Below are 18,122 nucleotides of genomic sequence, written 5' to 3'. Positions count from 1 at the left end.
TGAGCCCAGCCCTGCGGAGGGGATGGTGGTGGGATGGTTGGAATTCTTGACAAATTAGAGACATGGCTCTTACCTCAAGGAGTTTACCAGCTCACTCTGCTGAGGGCAGAACACAAGTTACACAGGTTGGAACATCTGCAAGAGCAAGAAAGGTTTTTTTATTTTTGTTTTTGTTTTTGAGACACGGTCTTACTCTGTCACCCATGCTGGAGTGTCCTGGTGACATCATAGCTCATTGCAGCCTTGACCTCCCTGGCTCAAGCCATCCTCCCACCTCAGCCTCCCAAGGAGCTGGGACTACACGTGCTTGCCACTGTGCCCAGCTAATTTTTGTATTTTTTGGTAGAGACGGTTTCACCATGTTGTCCAGGCTGGTCTTGAACTTCTGGGCTCAAGTGAGCCATCTGCCTCAGCTTCCCAAAGTGCTGGGATTACAGACATGAACCACTGCGCCTGGCCAGAATGTTTTAAAAGGAAGACATCGAAATTTTTGACTGCAACCAGTAGAAATACATTCCAGGAGCACATGCGTGTTACCCTTACTGTAAGTGGTGCATGTCATATTGCAGTCTTGTCTGGCCTATACATATTTATTTTTAAAGATAGTCTTCACCCTTCAACTTGCTTTCGCACTCACAGATGAGTCACTTCTTTCAGTGAAACACTGAGACAGCATGCGCACTAAGGCTCTTCAGGTATGTATAGGCCCTCCCCCACTGCTCTCACCTTCCAGGTGCCATCACCTGGGGCATCCTCGCCACTCTGATCTATGAAGTCAACGAGACTGAGAAGTCTCATGACTTGCCTAGGGCCAGAAGCAGCAAGTCCTGGAGCCAAGGCTCGAGCTGGGTCTCTGTTGCTCAGGTCCACAGCCCACCCTAACGCCTGCTGAATCTGCTGCCCAGTTTTATTCCTGCTGTGAGGAGAACTCAAGGATTCTTTTTTTTTTTTTTTTTTTGAGATGGAGTCCTGCTCTGTTGCCCAGGCTGGAGCGCAGTGGCGTGATCTTGGCTCACTGCAACCTCTGGCTCCTGGGTTCAAGTGATTCTCCTGCCTCAGCCTCCCAAGTAGCTGGGATTACAGGCACACACCACCATGCCCAGCTAAATTTTTTGTACTTTTAGTAGAGACGGGGTTTCGCCATATTGGCCAGGCTGGTCTCGAACTCCTGACCTCAAGTGATCCGCCCGCCTCGGCCTCCCAAAGTGCTGGGATTATAGGCGTGAGCCACCGCACCCGGCCAAGAACTCAAGGATTCTTATAGGGAGAGAAAGAGAGATCTCAAGATCCAAACAGATCCCAGGTGTCTGTCCTGGCCCCCTTAAAATTGAGGGCCTGGAGCCAGGCCCGGAACTCAGGCTCCTCTTGTCTGCTGTCTCAGGGACTGCAGAGGCTGGGACTGAGGAGAGCTGTGAAAAGAGAAGGCCAAGCTTGAAGCAGTCTGGGTGTTCCCTCCGTGTCTGAGGGGAGTCAGCCGGGAAGGATGGGTGGGGCTAGCTGCGTGGGCTGAAGCTAACCCCTCCCGACAAGCTGTTCTGGTTGCCAAGCAACTGGACCTCACTGTGAGGGCAGACTTGGTGTCAGGGGCCCAGGCCATGCCTAGAGGCCTCAGGCTTCTGGGAGGTTTTTTGACAGGAAAGCCTTAAACCAGTCCCCAGAGAAGCCCGTTTCTCATTGTCTATCTCCCATCTGACAATGGAGATGACAGTCAGCAGGATGTCTGCCAAGTGTGGCCTTGAGCACAGGCTAAGGTCAGCAGGGTGGGGGAGATGGCGGGGGGGGGGTTTGGCACCTGGGGGCTGAGTTGGGAGTGCCTGAAGCAAGAGGGGCGCGAGTGGCTGTGGAATACCCAGGCCAAATGCTGACCCTATAAATATTTATTGTGATAAAATAAAGATAAGGCCTGGAATGAGAAGCAGGAGCGAATGAAGGAATCCACACTGCTCGGTTCCATTTTCAGCCATGCTGTGTGAATTCAGCCTGTGTGTCCATCTCTCAGGACCGGGTTGGTTTGTGTGGGGTTCACTAGCTGGTACCATTCCTTCCCTTCCCAAATGGACTTTGCTCTTTGCAAACAGAAGAACGGGCAAGGCATTTATGGCTGGGAGACATTTCCTTGCTGTTTGGGCGTATTCTCTTTTCAGCTTCAAGCTGCCCAACCTGCCCTGTGTTGAAGGGAGGGCTGAAGGGTGGCTGATGGCTGAATTAGGGCCCGTGGCTTGAGGAGAAGGTTGCAGAGGGTCAAGAAGCTTCAGCTCTAGCCATGTCCTGGTCTCTCTAGGTTTCTTGTTAATTTACTCAGCACCCACTGCTTTAAGCAGCATTTCCAACTGTAAAAATGAGAGCAGTCAGAAGGTATCTTGTCCAGGCTCTTGATTTGTTATTTACGGCTCTTGGTGCCTCTGTAACATGTGGTGTTACAGGCCAGGGTGGTGGGTGTGTGCGACTAGGAATTCCGCTGAAATTCAAGTTGGATGTACGTTTCTAGCTCCAGCTGGGTGAGTAGAGGCTGGGGAGATGGTGGGTTTCTGATAAGGAGAATCGGTACTTCAGGATGGTACCAGCTGGCAAGGAGAGCATGCCCAGTGCTTCAAGAAGAGCTGATTTACACTGTGAAATTGGATGAGTATCTTTCTTATAGGAACCCCTAATCTCTGCATCCATATACTCTGCCATCTACCCACTCAATATACTCTATTCTCCCAGCTTGTCCAGGGTGACCTTTTGTTGCGGGAAGTCAGGGACCCAAAACGGAGGGACCGACTGAAGCCATGGCAGAAGAACGTGGTTTGTGAAGATTTCATGGACATTTATTAGTTCCCCAAATTAATACTTTTATAATTTCTTATGCCTGTCTTTACTGCAATCTCTAAACATAAATTGTGAAGATTTCATGGACACTTATCGCTTCCCCAATCAATACCCTTGTGATTTCCTATGCCTGTCTTTACTTTAATCTCTTAATCCTGTCATCTCGTAAGCCGAGGAGGATGTATGTCACCTCAGGACCCAGTGATAATTGCGTTAACTGCACAAATTGTAGAGCATGTGTGTTTAAACAATATGAAATCTGGGCACCTTGAAAAAAGAACAGGATAACAGCAGTGTTTAGGGAACAAGAGAGATCACCTTAAACTCTGACAGCCAGTGAGCCAGGCAGAACAGAGCCATATTTCTCTTCTTTCAAAAGCAAATGGGAGCCTTTCGGCCATAACTGCCATCTTCCAGTAATTCGCCAAAATGACGAATACAAAGGGAAAGAGGAGAGGCACCCGATGTATGTTCTCTAGGCCTTTTAGAAAACATGGAGTTGTTCCTTTGGCCACGTATATGCGAGTCTATAAGAAAGGTGATATTGTAGACATCAAGGGAATGGGTACTGTTCAAAAAGGAATGCCCCACACGCGTTACCACGGCAAAACTGGAAGAGTCTACAATGTTACCCAGCATGCTGTTGGCATTGTTGTAAACAAACAAGTTAAAGGCAAGATTCTTGCCAAGAGAATTAATGTGCGTATTGAGCACATTAAGCACTCTAAGAGCCGAGATAGCTTCCTGAAACGTGTGAAGGAAAATGATCAGAAAAAGAAAGAAGCCAAAGAGAAAGTTACCTGGATTCAACTAAAGCGCCAGCCTGCTCCACCCAGAGAAGCACACTTTGTGAGAACCAATGGGAAGGAGCCTGAGCTGCTGGAACCTATTCCCTATGAATTCATGGCATAATAGGTGTTAAAAAAAAAAAAAGCAAATGGGAGAAATATCGCTGAATTCTTTTTCTCAGCAAGGAACATCCCTGGGAAAGAGAATACAAAGAGTCTGTTTCTGAGGTGATGGGTCACTTACCCATGGCCACATTGGGAAGTGAGGGAGGAATCAGAATTAGAATTTATGGATGTTTCCATGTTTCCTGCCGAGCCATCTTCTTGCCCCTCGTGTGACCCAACTGTGAGTGTGGGTGTGTATTAACCAGTAAGAGAAATGGAGGTGTGGGGGATGTGGTTATTTATTTGACTCCACTTTGTCATGGCTTCCCCTGTGGTCATGGCTCATTTGTGGTGGCTCAGAGCTGCCCGGCTGGCCACCCTCAGGTGCCCAGACCCGTGTTCTGGAAGAGGCAGGTGGTAGATGCTGCCTCCTCTAGGGGGGTGAGAGTGAGAGTGTTTGCTGCTCTCATGTTCCCATGCATACAGAGAGGGCCTGTCAGCTGCTCTAGGTATAATCGAGGGGGCTGTCAGACAGTGCAGAAATCTAGTCACAAAGCAGCTGAGGCAGGGCTTAGAGGCAGAGCTAGGGTGGAGGGAGAATCAGAGACCACACCCAGTGCCAGTAGTCTTCCTTGCTCCCTGCTGCCCACTTGTGATTGAGGAGGGGGCTATCCAATGGGGCAGCAGCTCCTCTAGGAGCCATAGCTTCCCTTTGCAGAACAGGCCTTCTCTGAATCCAGAAACCAAGTGTCCCCACTTAAAGCCAGCTTAACCATCTGGTGGTGGCTAGCAGGGTGAGCTTCGCTCATTCTCTTCTTTTCTCTGTACTCCTCTCCACACCTTTCTGCTCTTCCTTGCTATCCCTGTAACAGGGGTCACTTTTCTTGTGTGTGTTCAGATGTGAGTGTGGAGAGCGACTGGGAAGTTGGGTGAGCTGATTTTCTCCAGGGCTTCTGGTCTCTTACCATTAAGGTCAAGTGACTCAGCAGAGAAAGGAGGGTTTGCTCCAGTGGCTTTGCTGGGGGGAACCTGCTCTGGGGTCAGGGGGAGCAGAACATAGTGTGGGGGAAGAGGGGACAGGAGGAGTCATTGTTGGCCCTGCTGTTCTTTCAGGGAAATGCTTGAGTGCCTCCTCCACCAGCTCTCTAGTACTTGTGCTGTGGGTGAGGCTGAACCCAGGTCACAGTGCACGTGGGCGCTGGGGGAGGGTAACGGGGAGATCCTGTGACATCTGCCTCATGGTGGCACCCAGACCTGAGGGGGGCGGGAAGAAGAGAACCTGAGACCTCTGGAAGAGTGGCACAGCAGAGATGGGGAGTGTGGAGAGGGTTCTCAGTGGAAAGAAACCTCGAAGGGAGTGGGGCCAGGGGGCTGAGCAAAGAAGCCTGGGTTGGCAGGCATAGGGGAAGCTCAGGCACCTTCTGATGGGCTGTGTGTGGTCAAGCTGTCCTGGCCTCCTTGTTAGGAAAGTCTGCAGGGAGGGGGTAGAGTGGTAAGCATGGAGACAGAGAGTGTCTAGACCTCAGGAAGGACTTTTTTGTATCAAAATAGAAAGCATCCCAATCGGGCCCAGTGTCTTCCAGATTTGGTGTTGTCAGAACCAAGGCCAAAGTCATCAACACTTATACTTATTAAGTTATATTTTTAAAAGTGTCCTTTAATTGGCTGAATCAGCCAGTTGGAAATACAAGTTGTTCTGAAATGTTCCATCCACATATGTCTTTCTCGCCGATAAATGTGTATCTCCCCACAGCAATTAACACAATATCTTGAAAGAGTTGGTGCTCGGTAAGTCGCTTTCCCCACCTTCTCCAGGCATTATGCTTGGGGCAGGGGTGACATACAGGGAATGAGGTGCGGGAACTCTGGTTATGATGGAACTCTTACACCCACATTTTTTCCTGGGTTAGATTTCAGCTTGTTTCTCCACCTTCTGGCTCAGAGCCAGGATCCCTGCTTCCCAGTCACTGGCTGAAGGATTGGCAGGATGGGGCTGGATCACATCTCATCTGTCCTTTTCTGCTTTCCTCCTTGGAGATGTTGCTTTGTCACTCACTTCTGGGGCACCCTGATAATATGGATGAGGTACTGGTCTGCAGTATAATTAATTTGGGTTAGAAAACACTGAACATCTTTTATACTTTTTATAATTGACTCTATATATTTTTAAATATTTCTTTTTTTTTTTTTTTTTTGAGATGGAGTCTCACTCTGTCACCCAGGCTGGAATGCAGTGGCACAATCTCGGCTGACTGCAACCTCTGCCTCCCGGGTTCAAGCAATTCTCCTGCCTCAGCCTCTGGAGCAGCTGGGATTACAGGTGTACTCCACCACGTCCAGCTTATTTTTGTATTTTTAGTAGAGACGGGGTTTCACCATGTTGGCCAGGCTAGTCTTCAACTCCTGAGCTCAAATGATCCACCTGCCTAGGCCTCCCAAAGTGCTAGGATTACAGGCGTGAGCCACCAAGCCTGGCCTTAAATGTTTGTTTTTGAGAAGGAGCGGGCTATTTTCAGCCGGCTTAGAGGAGTTTATCACTCCCACAAGAACCTCAGGAGAGAACAGGTCAGGGAAGAGCGAGGTGTCAGCAGCAACAGCTCATTTACATATTTTCTGCAACTCTTCCCTTGGCTCAAATTGCAGGCATCCTGGCCAAGTTTCTTTATTTTTTCGAGATAGGGTCTTGCTGCGTTGCCCAGGCTGGTCTCAAACTCCTGGGCTTAAGCTATCCTCCTGCCTCATACTCCTGAGTAGCTGGGATTATAGGCACGCACCACTGAGCCTGGTTCTGGCCAAGTTTTAGTCTGGGCATTACTGTCACTTTCTCTCCATCACACACACCAAAATCAGGGGCAAGTCTGGGCTTAATGTAGCTCATTATAGACGCTGTGCTCCTGGTGTCAGAGTCTATTTTTCCAGATGGAATGACCAGGATAGGGGAGGGACTGAGAATCTCAGCCTTGAAAGTAATCTTTCACTTGGTCAGCTTTTCTCCCATATAGCAGGTGCCTTTCTAGTGTCTCGGGCACATGGTCAGGCCAGCCACTGCTTGAAAGCCCCCAGTGACTAGGAGCACTGCCCTGTGAAGTAGTTTTTTCTATTGTTATAGACAGTTTCAACTTGTATCATTCCTTAATGTTGAGCTTAAGTTTCCTTCTAACTTCCACACGGTGGTACCAGTTCAACATCCTGGCCATCCTTTTCTGGGCTCACTTGTTTATCATTGTTTCAAGAGTCAGGCAAGTATGGGGAGAGCGTATAACCCAGTGGGGAAGATACAGGGTCTGTCATATGCCTGCCTGGGTTTGCACTTGGCTTCCCACTCACCAGCTGTGTGACCCCGGTTATAATCCTTAACCTCTCTGAGCCTTGGTTTAGTCATCTGTAAAATGTGAGTGATGATGGTACTTACCTCATAGAGTTGTTGAGAGGGTTAAATACATTAATACATGTAAAAAGCTTGGAACAGTGCCTGGCAACCAAAGGCAATTCAGTACATGGTAGCTTTTAATCTCTCTTGAAATAAATTGTCTGGAATTGAACACAATACTCTAGACATTGTCTGTTCCATGGGACCCTGATGCCCTCCAACTTGATGATATATTTCTATTATGTCAGACTAAATTTGCAAATCACTGGTGTTTAAATTGAGCTCATTGTACTGAAGCCCTCAGGTTATTTTCCCACGGACAGCTGTCAGGCTTAGATCTCCCCTTTGCTGCATAAAAGATGTGATCTGAGTTAGAGGGAAGGTCAGGGTCAAGGGGAGCCCAAAGCCTCCCCTCACATTGGTTCCAAACACACATGAACTCTCACTGATGCAGTCGCGTCCTTTTTATAATGCTGTTCTGCGATCTGGCGTTCTATTTGGAAAATCTCTTGACCCACACGGGGCTAAAATAAAATTCCCTCCCCATGGGTCTTTTCTTTCTTTCAGTGGGTCTCTTTTATTCTTCTTTGCTCATTCATTGCATTTGCTTATCAGGTGAGCTGAGCACTTACTGTTGGGAACTTCCTTACCTCCAACTCTAGCTCCTCTGCTTCTCCAAGTTCCCAGGCTATAGGGGAAAAGACACAGATGCCCACAGCATAATCAGAGTGACTGTTTTCACAGACAAACCTCTGGGGCTCTCTAAATCCTTGGTCTTCATGGTCCACTAGCATCTGTATCATCAGGGAGCTTGCTGGAAATGCAGAATCTCAGGCCTCACCCCAACATGCTGAATCAGAATCTATGTTTTAACAAGGCCCTCCAGGTGATTCATATGCACATTAAAAGCGGAGAAGCCTTGCTCTAAGTCATTCAATGTGGAGTAGGAATGCGGAAAGCAAGAAGCCTATCTTTCAAGGCCTTGATATTAGTCCTACTGACCAGGTTCCTGGGGACATAAAGCTATTTCTGTACTATTTGATCACAAGCTATTTCTTGGAATGCTCATAATAAAGGTTTTTTTGTTTGTTTGTTTGTTTTTGCTATGTTGCCCAGGCTGGTCTTGAACTCCTAGAACAATTCTCCCGCCTCAGCCTCCCGAATAGCTGGGACTACAAGCGTGCACCACTGTGCTCAGCTCATAATGTTTTTATAAAATACTCATTTTCTTTTCTTTTTTGAGACAGAGTTTCATTCTGTTGCCCAGGAGGGAGTGCAGTGGCACAATCTTGGCTCACTGCAACCTCTGCCTCCCAGGCTCAAGCGATCCTCCTGCCTCAGCCTCCCGAGTAGCTGGGATGACAGGCATGTGCCACCACACACGGTTAATTTTGTATTTTTAATAGAGATGGGGTTTCACCATGTTGGCCAGCCTGCTCTTGATTCCTGACATCAAATGATCTGCCCGCCTCAGCCTTTCAAAGTGCTGGGATTACAAGCATGAGCCACTGCACCCGGCCACTCATGCATTTAAAAAAATATAGATTGTACTTATGTTTTCCCCATTTTATTAGTAACATACTCTTGAGCTCATGTATTTCAAACCACTGGATATGTACAGTTGGAATCTTAAAGTTTAAATGTTTGGTTTTATGTTTCTGATCTACTTTTTTTGGTTAATATTAGGCTATGATTCCAGTATATGGAATCCTCATTCTGCCATCACTGTGTTAGTCATCCCTCCCAGCTTTGTCAGTAGCAAATCTGATAACCATGCCTTCTAAGTCTTTATGCAAATCATGGATGAAAATGTAGACCACAGCAGGATCAAGAACAGATCCCTGTGGTGCACCCTTAGAAGCTCATTCATTTATTTAGCCAGCAATGTTGACTTCCAGAGCTCCATCCCTGCAATCAGATGAACTGGTTATAGCTCCTCCCCTGTTCCCTGCTGACCTTTGGCAAGGTATTACTGCACCAGACTCCCAGTTCTTTATCTGTAGCCAAGGAAGTTGGAGTAGTCACCAGTATCCTCTGGGGGGTGCTTTAAAGAAATGCATGTTCCTGGGCCCCTACCCTTTCCCCCACAGATCCTGGTTCAGTTGGTCTCTGGTGGGTACCCAACACCAGTATTTTGAAAAAGCCCTCAAAGCAGAGAGCAAAAAGTTCTCTGGGTAATTCTAGTGCGAAGCCAGGATTGAGAACCACTGGGCCAGATAATCTCTAACAACCATGATCTGCCTTCCTGATCCAAGAGGATTCCTGGGGGCCTGGTACACATCTTCTGGGGCTTCTTGTCCTATGGCCTGAGCCCTGCTGGCTGCAGACCACGGTAGGAGAGGGGGCCTAGCTGGCTGGTAGAGCACCGTGGCCAGGCACCGGGTGTGCTGTACAGGACTATAAAGCACCCCAGTCTTCCCCACATCCCTGGGAGAAGAGTTGGGATGCCTCCTATCAGCTGCTCGCTCTCCTGCCCATCTTCTCTGGACAAAAGAATCATCTCTGACTTCTCTGAAGTTAGCTCCTTCTCTGTGTTTCTGAGTTTGCTGCTTAACAAAAATAGCCAAAGGCCAGTGTAAGTCTGTTTCGGGGATCAGCACCCTGTCTGATTCCTCTCTTTGTCTTCTGTTTCTTTCCTCCCATAACTCTGGAGGCAACAGCACCTCTGAGGCCTTCTCTTGCATCTCTTTCTCTCTATAGACTCCCACAGGCTGAGGACTGCACCATTCCAGAGCCATAGCAGCTCCCAGGAATGTTGCTGGCCAACGAGTGAACACAAAAAGACCTCTCTGACATGGCCCTGGGGGTCAGGGTACCTACTTGCCCAGCTTGGCTCATTTGAGGCAAGACCAGCTTCTACCTTGGGGCTCAGGTTGTTGCTTTGAGCATCGCTTGCCTGGTTCTGGGATATGAGCGTGTCCAGGATGTGTGGTCTCATCTTCTCCCTGCCTCTCCGCAGTTGTGCTGGTACGGGAGTGTCTCTGCAGTGGGCCTGTTAATTGGTGCTTCAGCTGGCTGATTGACTCTAATGCGGGTGAACATTTATTTACCCCAGCAGCCGCCTCTCAGACAGCCGTTAATTGCAGGCACGAGAGAGACAATAATTACGGGATAATGGGTGGCTTTTGTGTGAGTCCTTCTCTTTGCACTGTGTCAGCAAACACAGAGGGTTTGTTTTCTAACATTCAGCTACCCTGCTGGGGAATAACACACCCCCCTCCCACTCACTCCATCCCTGTCATCCAGTCCACCCTTCCCTTTCCCTGTCCTGGGTGACAGAACATGTTCCAATTTTCCAAAATATTGTCTCCTTCCAATTCTCATGCGGTCATGACCCCATTTTTTTGATTTGTGAGGTCTAACTTGTACTTTTAAAAAAGTAATGCTTAATTAACTTTGCCTAAAAATGGGTAAGCAAATGTTAAAGGATATGCCTATTCCATGTGCCTCCTGATCTTTGTTAATATAGTTTATATAGTTGTAATTAGTTTATACAGTTAATATAGTTTATATAGTTGTAATCCTGTGTTTATATAGTTGTAATTGATGTGTAGCTAGTGTCTTGTGTCATGAATTTCTTTTTTGTTTAATATTATTTTATACAAACACTCCCAGGTATGATAATGATCTATAAATTTGTCATTTTAAATAGCTATAAGTAATTCTGTCATGTTGCTCCATTACTGGATTGCTTTTCTCTTATTACTGAGAATTTGGGTTGTTTCCAATTTGTTGCTATTATGAATAGCTCTGCTATAAATGTCTTTACATGTACTGATTTTCCCCCTAGTTATTTCCCTGGGGGTTCATTGAATTATGAAGTTATATTGATCTGGGATCCTGTTGGGAAGAATGGAGGGGCTTGGGGAGCTGGAGGCTACTGGGAAAGTTTAACTGATTCCCTCCTCTCCCTCTCCCAGCACACAATTCCTCTTCTTCTCACCTCTTTTCACATCCATTTTGAGTATGATCCTTGCCCCAATTTCCCTAGTAACAGCCCAGGTTGGTGAGATGGAGACTTAGTGTTCCGGTTATGTATTGCCGCATAGCAGGCCACCCAAAATGTAGTGGCTGAGAACAAGGGCTGATGCCTGTCTCTCAGGGTTCTCTAGGTTGACTGGGCTCGGGGAGGGGTAGCCCTTGCTTGGGTCATTTCCGGCCGTGGCCATCCTCTGAAGGCTCGACTGGCTGGGCTGCCAGGGAGGCTCCTCACATGTCTGGCAAAGGATGCCAGCTGTCATCGGGGAGCTCAGCGGGGCCTGTCAACCTGAGCACCACAAGTGGCCTCTCCACGTGGCTTGGACTTCCCTCAGTGAGGCGGTTGGTTCTAAGACAGAATGTCTCAAGAGAGCGTTCCAGGAGACCCAAGTGGAAACTGCAAGACTTCTTATGCCCTAGCCTCAGGAGTCACACAGAGTCATGTCCGTTACATGCTGCTGGTCCAACTGAGCCTGCCCGGATGCACGGGGTGGGGAATTGACTCCACTTCCCAATGGGAGGGAACAGCAAAGAATCTGCAGACCTTTTTGGTCTTCCACTCTTGAAGACTGAAAGCATGTATTGGTTAGTAGCCTATGCATCCTACCGGGGTCTGCCTTAGGAGAGGCCATGCGAGAGTCCCTCTCCCCATCCCCTTCATTTCCACAGAAGCAGTCTGCTCCTGTCTTACTTCCATTTACCAAAATCCTGCCCGTTTTCAGAAGTCATCTGATCTCTCAGCCTTCCCTGGTTGCCCACAGGAGCCACAAGTCTCCCTGTCTTTATCTGCCTTTGTCTCACATGGCTCTTCTCACAGTTGTTTATGGGCTTGGCTTGCTAGGTTGTAAACTCTTGGAAGGCAAAGACTCTGTCATGTTCTTCTTGTTAATCTCAACACCCCACCCTAAAGACCTAGTAAAGTTCCTGGCATAGAAAAGGGCTTCCATAAATTCCATCTGCTTTCCCCTTTTTCACACATTTGAGACTGCACTTCCTGTTGAACTAATGAGTTCTTATGAACTAATGACCTTAATGGAGCGGGGGATGGTGGGAAGAGAACAAGCACTTGCCACACACTTTGTATGTGCATTTAACAGAGCAGGCTAGGAGCTTTACATATATTCTTTCACATATGTAAAAGAATTCTTTTACATTCTTTTACATATGTGGCAGCCACTGGGAAGGGACTTCCTTGGTAGAGCTGGAAAGTAAGTAGCAGCATTCCTATTTTATAGAGGATGGAGTTGAGGTTTGGAAATGTTAGGTAACATGTGCACAGTGACATAGTTGGGTCACCTAGTTAGAAAGTCGTGGAGCCATAATTCAAATCTAGGTCTTCGGGAATTTAAGGCACACATTCCCTTCTGTAGGCTTAACCTCTTGGAACCTCAGTTTCCTCATCTGTAAATGGAGAGAAGAATACTTCATAGGGTTGTTTGGATGAAAAGAAATAAGACTGTAAGCCATCCAGGGCTGCACTTGGCATCAAGTGGGCATTCATTCCCTATTGCCTGTCATGCCATGGCTTCTTGTTCTCAAGGCTTTGACAAGCACTTTACCCACCTGGCATGCTTTATGGCTGGCAACGCAGTTGACGGGTTTGCCCTCCTCATCTTTGGGTGTGTGCGTTGTTCACCAGCATACATATGACTATTGTGGTACGTGCCTCCCAATTGCTCCTCCCCTTCCACTGGAGCACAAGTGAGTCATTTTCCCTGGATTCCCCCCCCAAGTGAGAGACCGCCATCTTCTTTCTAACACAGTGCAGACAGCCAGGTCTCCAGTCACCCCGGAGGCTTCTCCTAGAGCAGCTGAGGTGAGGGATTCCACCCTTCCACATTAATTGCTTTTGTTTGCTCCTTTAAAATTAATTCCAACGAGAGCTCATTAATTCTTTCTTTTTCCTCATCTCATGCTCACTTGTTGTCTTCACTACTCAGTTCTGTTTTCCATTTTTTGGTCTTGCTCTGTCTCAGAGCATGTAGGAGCCCCATTCAGAATGATTCTGCAATGGTGACATCTCGCCGGGTGAGTTAGGATGTAGGCTAGTAAGAAGGTAGCAGCTACTGGGAAGGGGCTTGCTTGGTAGAGCTGGGGAGAGCTACAATTTATGTCTTTTGCTTCCTGATTCCCTTCCTTCTTATTCCTTTGGCTCTGGTCTCCTCATTCTCTGGCCTGAAGCATTGCCTGGGAAGGGAGGAGCTGGCTGGTTTAGGCGTCCACTAGTCTGGTCTGATCTGTCCCTTCATTCCCCAACTCAGTTTCATCTCCAACTCCCCTGCCTGGCCATTGATATATGGCATAGAGTTGCCAGAATCACAGAAGGCAGAGGAGATTGGATTGTTTCTCTTAACTCTTCTCATACCCTTCCCTCCAAGGGTTCAAACTGAAAAGTCTGGGAGTCCAGAAAGAGATGAGATTTTAAAAACTCTTTCCTCCTTGCCTTCAGGCTCTTCTTTCTTTCCAGTGCTAGTCCTTTGGAGGAGCAGCAGGGCTCAGGGGCAGGCAAAATGGAAGCCTTCCCAGCAAACTGCCCTGCCAGAGCCTTGGAGGAGGCCTCTTTAGACCTGGCTTTCTTTATTGTTCTGGTACAGCCCTAGCAGGGGACTTGTCACAGGCAGTTGCTAGCTTTTGTGATTCTGTTCCAGTCATTGACCTGGATGCCTGGAGTTTGACAAATCTTCAAGTAAGGAAAAGCATTTCCTGCATCCATGTGAATTTGCAAATATATGTCTTTTGTGCTTACAAGCCCATGGGAGGGTAAGGCAGGGAGGAGGAGGGCAGAATGCAAGCTGGGCAGTATGCAAGTTGGCCTAGTGCATGATCTAAGTATTTTCCCCAGTGTATGTATGTGCGTGCACACACACACACACACACACACACGCTCACACACCTCTTTCAGGAGGTCTGCCCTGATGGCCTCAGCTAGAACTAACCTCTCCTTCCGCTGAATTCCTGTGGCACCAGTGACTTGTATCACTCACAGCAAATCTATGCTTTCAGTTGTACAGTGGTAGCAGAAGATCGTATTGGATAAATAAGTTGGGGCTGGATTGTAAAAGACCTTGCATTTCAAGCCTCCATCCTGCAGACAGTAGAGAAGCACTGCAGGTTTGTGAGCCAGGGCATGATTGGATTGTCACTTGCGGGGAGCAGGGAGACCAGACCAGAGGTAGAGGCACCCTGTCATCTCAAGGGCAACAGGACTGGGGATGACTTGGTGCAGGTGGGTTGCTGGACCAGTTTAATCTGCAGTCTGAAGGCAGTGTCATGGACAGGGAAGATTGGTTGGTGATGAGGGTTTAGGATGCCGCACTGAGAGCTGTTTTGGGGGCTCAGTGGGTGTGGTTGGGGACCTGTGTCTTAGGGTAGAGTTGGTGACTGGAGACAGAAGAAGACCAGATGGAATTAGGTACAGGACCCTTACAAAGCCCTTCTTGACACTAGAGAAGTTTACATTGGGCCACCCCCTTATGTAGGGGCATGTGCCCTGGAACACTTTAGAGGCTTCTCTTAAAGGTGACATGGCAGAATTATTTGCTGGCTATCAAAGTTATTGAGATGAGGTGACAGGGGCTGTGGCAGAGCCAAAGCTATGGGGTCTGGGTCCAAAGACAGGTACAGATGTGCCCTGCCCATGCCACATGGACACTGTCATCCTCCACAGCCCAGCTCAGAGCAGCTGGCCCTTTCACTCCCCCGGGGCTCAGCATTTACTGCCCAGACAGAAAAGGGGAGGGAATGACATGACTCCTTGTCTGTCTGCTTTCTCCCAAGGTCACCTTTGTCTCTGCTTGTCAAAACTGGCATCATCTCCCTGGCACTGCCAGTCCTGGAGCTGGGGGCTGCATGGTGTTCCCTCAATGTCTTCTTGCCTTAACCCAGTTGCTCTGGCAAAGAGCAGGGAGAGGTGCAGCGGCCACTGCGGCGTAAAGATGCCTTTGAGAGATGGGATCCCCTTCAGACTCTTCTCTAGCCCTGAAGTGCAGCCTCCCTCCCTGTCCCCTACTCCAGGAGGGGCCTTCTCCAGGGCCTTTCTCTGCTGGGGAAGGAAGGGAGGGACTTGGTCCAAGGGAGCCAGCCTGGCTGTCTATATGTTGAGAGGAGTTGTCTGCAGTGCTGGGCTGAGGCCAAGCTAAACACCCCCCTGCCCAGCTGCCTGAGCCATTCTGCTTTCCTGGATTGGTGGGGAATGGGAGAGATTGTGTATGTGTGTGGGGGGAAGTGGTGGGGGCAGGGGTTTGTTATCTGCAGGTTAACCCTTGGGAGGCCAAGGGGAAGGAAAGCATCCAGTGGGAAAGTGCCGCTGTCTGTTTCTTGGATAGGTGATCTCATCCAGATCAAGTCCTTTAGTGGAAACTAGGAGATGGGGTGTGGATGGGGAAGGAAGAGACATTGGTCAAAGGGTACAAAGTTTCAGTTAGACAAGGGGAATAAATTCTGGTGATCTATTACACAGCATGGTGACTATAGTTAATAATAATATAATAATAAATTATATTTTTAAATTGCTAAAAGAGTAGGTTTTATTTTATTTTATTTTATTTTTTAGACAGAGCCTTGTTCTGTCACCCAGGCTGGAGTGCAGTAGTGCAATCTTGGCTCATGTAACCTCCACCTCCTGAGTTCAAGCTATTCTTGTGCCTTATCTTCCCAAGTAACTGGGATTATAGGTGTGCACTACCGCGCCCGGCTAATTTTTGTATTTTCAGTAGAGATGCGGTTTCACCATGTTGGCCAGACTGATTTCGAATTCCTGACCTCAAGTGATCCACCCACCCTGACCTCCCAAAGTGCTGGGATGACAGGCATGAACCACCCACTGCGCCCTGTCAAGAGTAGGTTTTAAATGTTCTCACCACAAAGAAATGATAAATATGTGAAGTGGTAGATATATTAATTAGCCTAGTTTGATCATTTCACAATGTATACATGTATCAAACCATCGCATTTTACCCCATAAATAGATGCAATCATTATTTATCAAATAGAAAAAGACCAAGTTTGGAATGATAGCCCCAGAACCATCCTCCGTGGTGATCTTATGAGGAGCACAAATGTATGTCATAGGTAATTAGGAAAGTTGTGTGGAGGGTCAGAGTCTTTGACTCCCTCTCTTAGGACAAAGATTTGAGGTTTGACTGAGCAGGATACAAAGGCTTTGCGTCCCACTCATCTTGTTGCCTCTCCCTGCCACCCTTGGCTCTCCCGCTGTGATGGAGGGTTAGCTATGCTGTCTGCCTTCATCCCTTGCCCAGAAGCATGTTCACCACAGGGGAGCTTTTCCAGGCACCTGGACCGAAGCATATCTGTCCTTACTGCACTTGTATATCATCCCATCCCAGGACTTCCCCCAGAGCAGGTTCTAGAAATGGGATTCTCTTCCTTGCCACCCCTGCTTTCATATTACCCTTGGCTGTTGTGTTCAAGACCTGGGGACAAATAGTGCAAGGCTAGGCCTCCTCAGAGCTCCCAACCTCAGAGGGACCTTACCATTTTAAATAGGCTGATTAGGAAAGCTTGTCAATGATCAGGAGCATAAAGAATGGACGTTTTTTGTTTTTGAGGGAGTTTTTTGCTAATGAAACCTTGGACTGAAGCCACTGAACTTGCCCGGTCTGGAAGTGGGTTGCTAACTGCATAGCCTGAGAAGGAGCTCTCCCCCAGGGCAGCTGGAGAGCAGGGGCCAGGAGGTTCCTCCCAGAGAGCAGGACCTGGGCTGCAGGATTCCCCCTTCCCTGCAAGCTGAGGCCTGGCCTGCTGAAGCGGGTGAGAGAGAGCTCTGAGCTGGAGAGTCAAAGATTTGGGTTCCCAGCTGGCTTTGACACTTCCCTAAGGATGTGTAACTTCAGATCATTCACTATCCCCTTTGAGCTCTAACTGTTTAAATCAGCTGAGAAGGAGAGATGATAATATAGTGCTTCCTTTGGGTTATGTGAAGCTGCAATGAAAAATAGTCAATGTGTGTAAAACGCTATGCAAATGTCAGAGATTATTATTAATATTGTTATTGTTCTTAGGAGAGGCAGAGAACTGGAGTCCTGGGCTTGAGCTGTACTTTCTCTTGGAAGTTTCTGCAGCCCACAGCTTCCTCCCCAGTAGAGTAAAGAAGGGGCCTTTGGGGTGGGAATTGCCTGCTCCTCCAAGCCACTTTGCTTTGGGCAAAGCCCTGGAGGGTAAGAGAAACCCTAGTCATCCTACAAACACAAATGCCAGGGCCAGATCATTCCTCCCTGCCCCTGTCCCTTCCTTCCCCTTCTTCCTCACTCTGTTCACTCAGCCAGTTTTCATTTCCCGCCTGGTGGAGCTGGGGGCCTCTGGCTCTCCTGGGCAGGGTGCCCGAGGCCTGGGGGCCTGGGTCTTCTCTGGCTTAGTTTGTCGTTTGCCTTATCCTCATTTGGCGGAGGCATTGCAGAGCCTAACAGAAACCTGCCTCCTCCTCCCTAGGTGGGGCAGGAACTTTCGTTTATGATAATGATACTCTGCATTTATAGAGCGTCTTTTCTACTGAGAGCTCAGAGCACTTTTCCTTCTATGCACACTCTCATCTTTCTGGAAGTGCAGGCTGAGGGAAAGAATCACAGTGACTTTATAACTGAGGCTTGGAGGCACTGAGTAGCTTGCCTTAGGTCATGCAGCCAGCAAGGGGCAGAGCCAGGATTTGAGTTTCAGAGTTGGGACTGCTGCCGGGATTAGTCTTGAGGTCCCTTGACCTTCAGCGAGGGACTTGTTGGCCTGTTTCCTTAGTGCCTAAAGAGTGAGGACTGGGTCAGGCGCAGTGGCTCACGCCTGTAATCCCAGCACTTTGGGAGGCCAAAGTGGGTGGATCACGAGGTCAAGAGTTCAAGACCAGCCTGGCCAACATGGTGAAACCCCATCTCTACTAAAAATACAAAAATTAGCTGGGCATGGTGGCGCGTTCCTGTAATTCCAAATACTCAGGAGGCTGAGGCAGGAGAATTGCTTGAACCGGGACCTGGGAAGTGGAAGTTGCAGTGAGCCGAGATGGATCGTGCCACTGCACTCTAGCCTGGGTGACACAGCGAGACTCTGTCTTAAAAAAAAACAAA

General features: G+C 48.3%; 1 protein-coding gene and 1 pseudogene across 13 annotated transcripts in view, besides 4 other annotated features; both read left to right on the top strand.

Moving 5' to 3' along the window:
* Positions 1–18,122, top strand: part of PLEKHA6 (pleckstrin homology domain containing A6) — a 159,316-nt gene that overhangs the window by 27,670 nt on the left and 113,524 nt on the right. The window contains exon 1 of one of the 13 annotated variants that reach the window (XM_011509299.4): positions 1,531–1,751. The exons of the other annotated variants lie outside the window; for them this stretch is intronic. Coding sequence (XP_011507601.2) covers positions 1,696–1,751 — 56 coding nt within the window. The 5' untranslated portion in view covers positions 1,531–1,695. Of the gene's footprint in view, positions 1–1,530; positions 1,752–18,122 lie in introns of those variants that run through there. 13 annotated transcript variants of the gene reach the window in all.
* Positions 1,167–1,905: an enhancer, noted in NCBI's record as "H3K4me1 hESC enhancer chr1:204317722-204318460 (GRCh37/hg19 assembly coordinates)". NCBI's record gives its function as "activates a minimal SCP1, AML or CMV promoter by ChIP-STARR-seq in naive H9 embryonic stem cells {active_cell/tissue: H9 hESC(naive)}" and the evidence as "EXISTENCE:reporter gene assay evidence [ECO:0000049][PMID:30033119]".
* On the top strand, positions 3,201–3,742 carry RPL21P19 (ribosomal protein L21 pseudogene 19; annotated as a pseudogene).
* Positions 9,283–9,891: an enhancer, noted in NCBI's record as "H3K4me1 hESC enhancer chr1:204309736-204310344 (GRCh37/hg19 assembly coordinates)". NCBI's record gives its function as "activates a minimal SCP1, AML or CMV promoter by ChIP-STARR-seq in primed H9 embryonic stem cells {active_cell/tissue: H9 hESC(primed)}" and the evidence as "EXISTENCE:reporter gene assay evidence [ECO:0000049][PMID:30033119]".
* Positions 11,605–12,388: an enhancer, noted in NCBI's record as "H3K4me1 hESC enhancer chr1:204307239-204308022 (GRCh37/hg19 assembly coordinates)". NCBI's record gives its function as "activates a minimal SCP1, AML or CMV promoter by ChIP-STARR-seq in primed H9 embryonic stem cells {active_cell/tissue: H9 hESC(primed)}" and the evidence as "EXISTENCE:reporter gene assay evidence [ECO:0000049][PMID:30033119]".
* Positions 13,173–13,956: an enhancer, noted in NCBI's record as "NANOG-H3K4me1 hESC enhancer chr1:204305671-204306454 (GRCh37/hg19 assembly coordinates)". NCBI's record gives its function as "activates a minimal SCP1, AML or CMV promoter by ChIP-STARR-seq in naive H9 embryonic stem cells {active_cell/tissue: H9 hESC(naive)}" and the evidence as "EXISTENCE:reporter gene assay evidence [ECO:0000049][PMID:30033119]".

This window comes from Homo sapiens, chromosome 1, assembly GCF_000001405.40.
Source record: "Homo sapiens chromosome 1, GRCh38.p14 Primary Assembly".
Lineage (NCBI taxonomy): Eukaryota > Metazoa > Chordata > Mammalia > Primates > Hominidae > Homo > Homo sapiens.
This window is presented reverse-complemented; position numbering and strand designations above follow the sequence as displayed.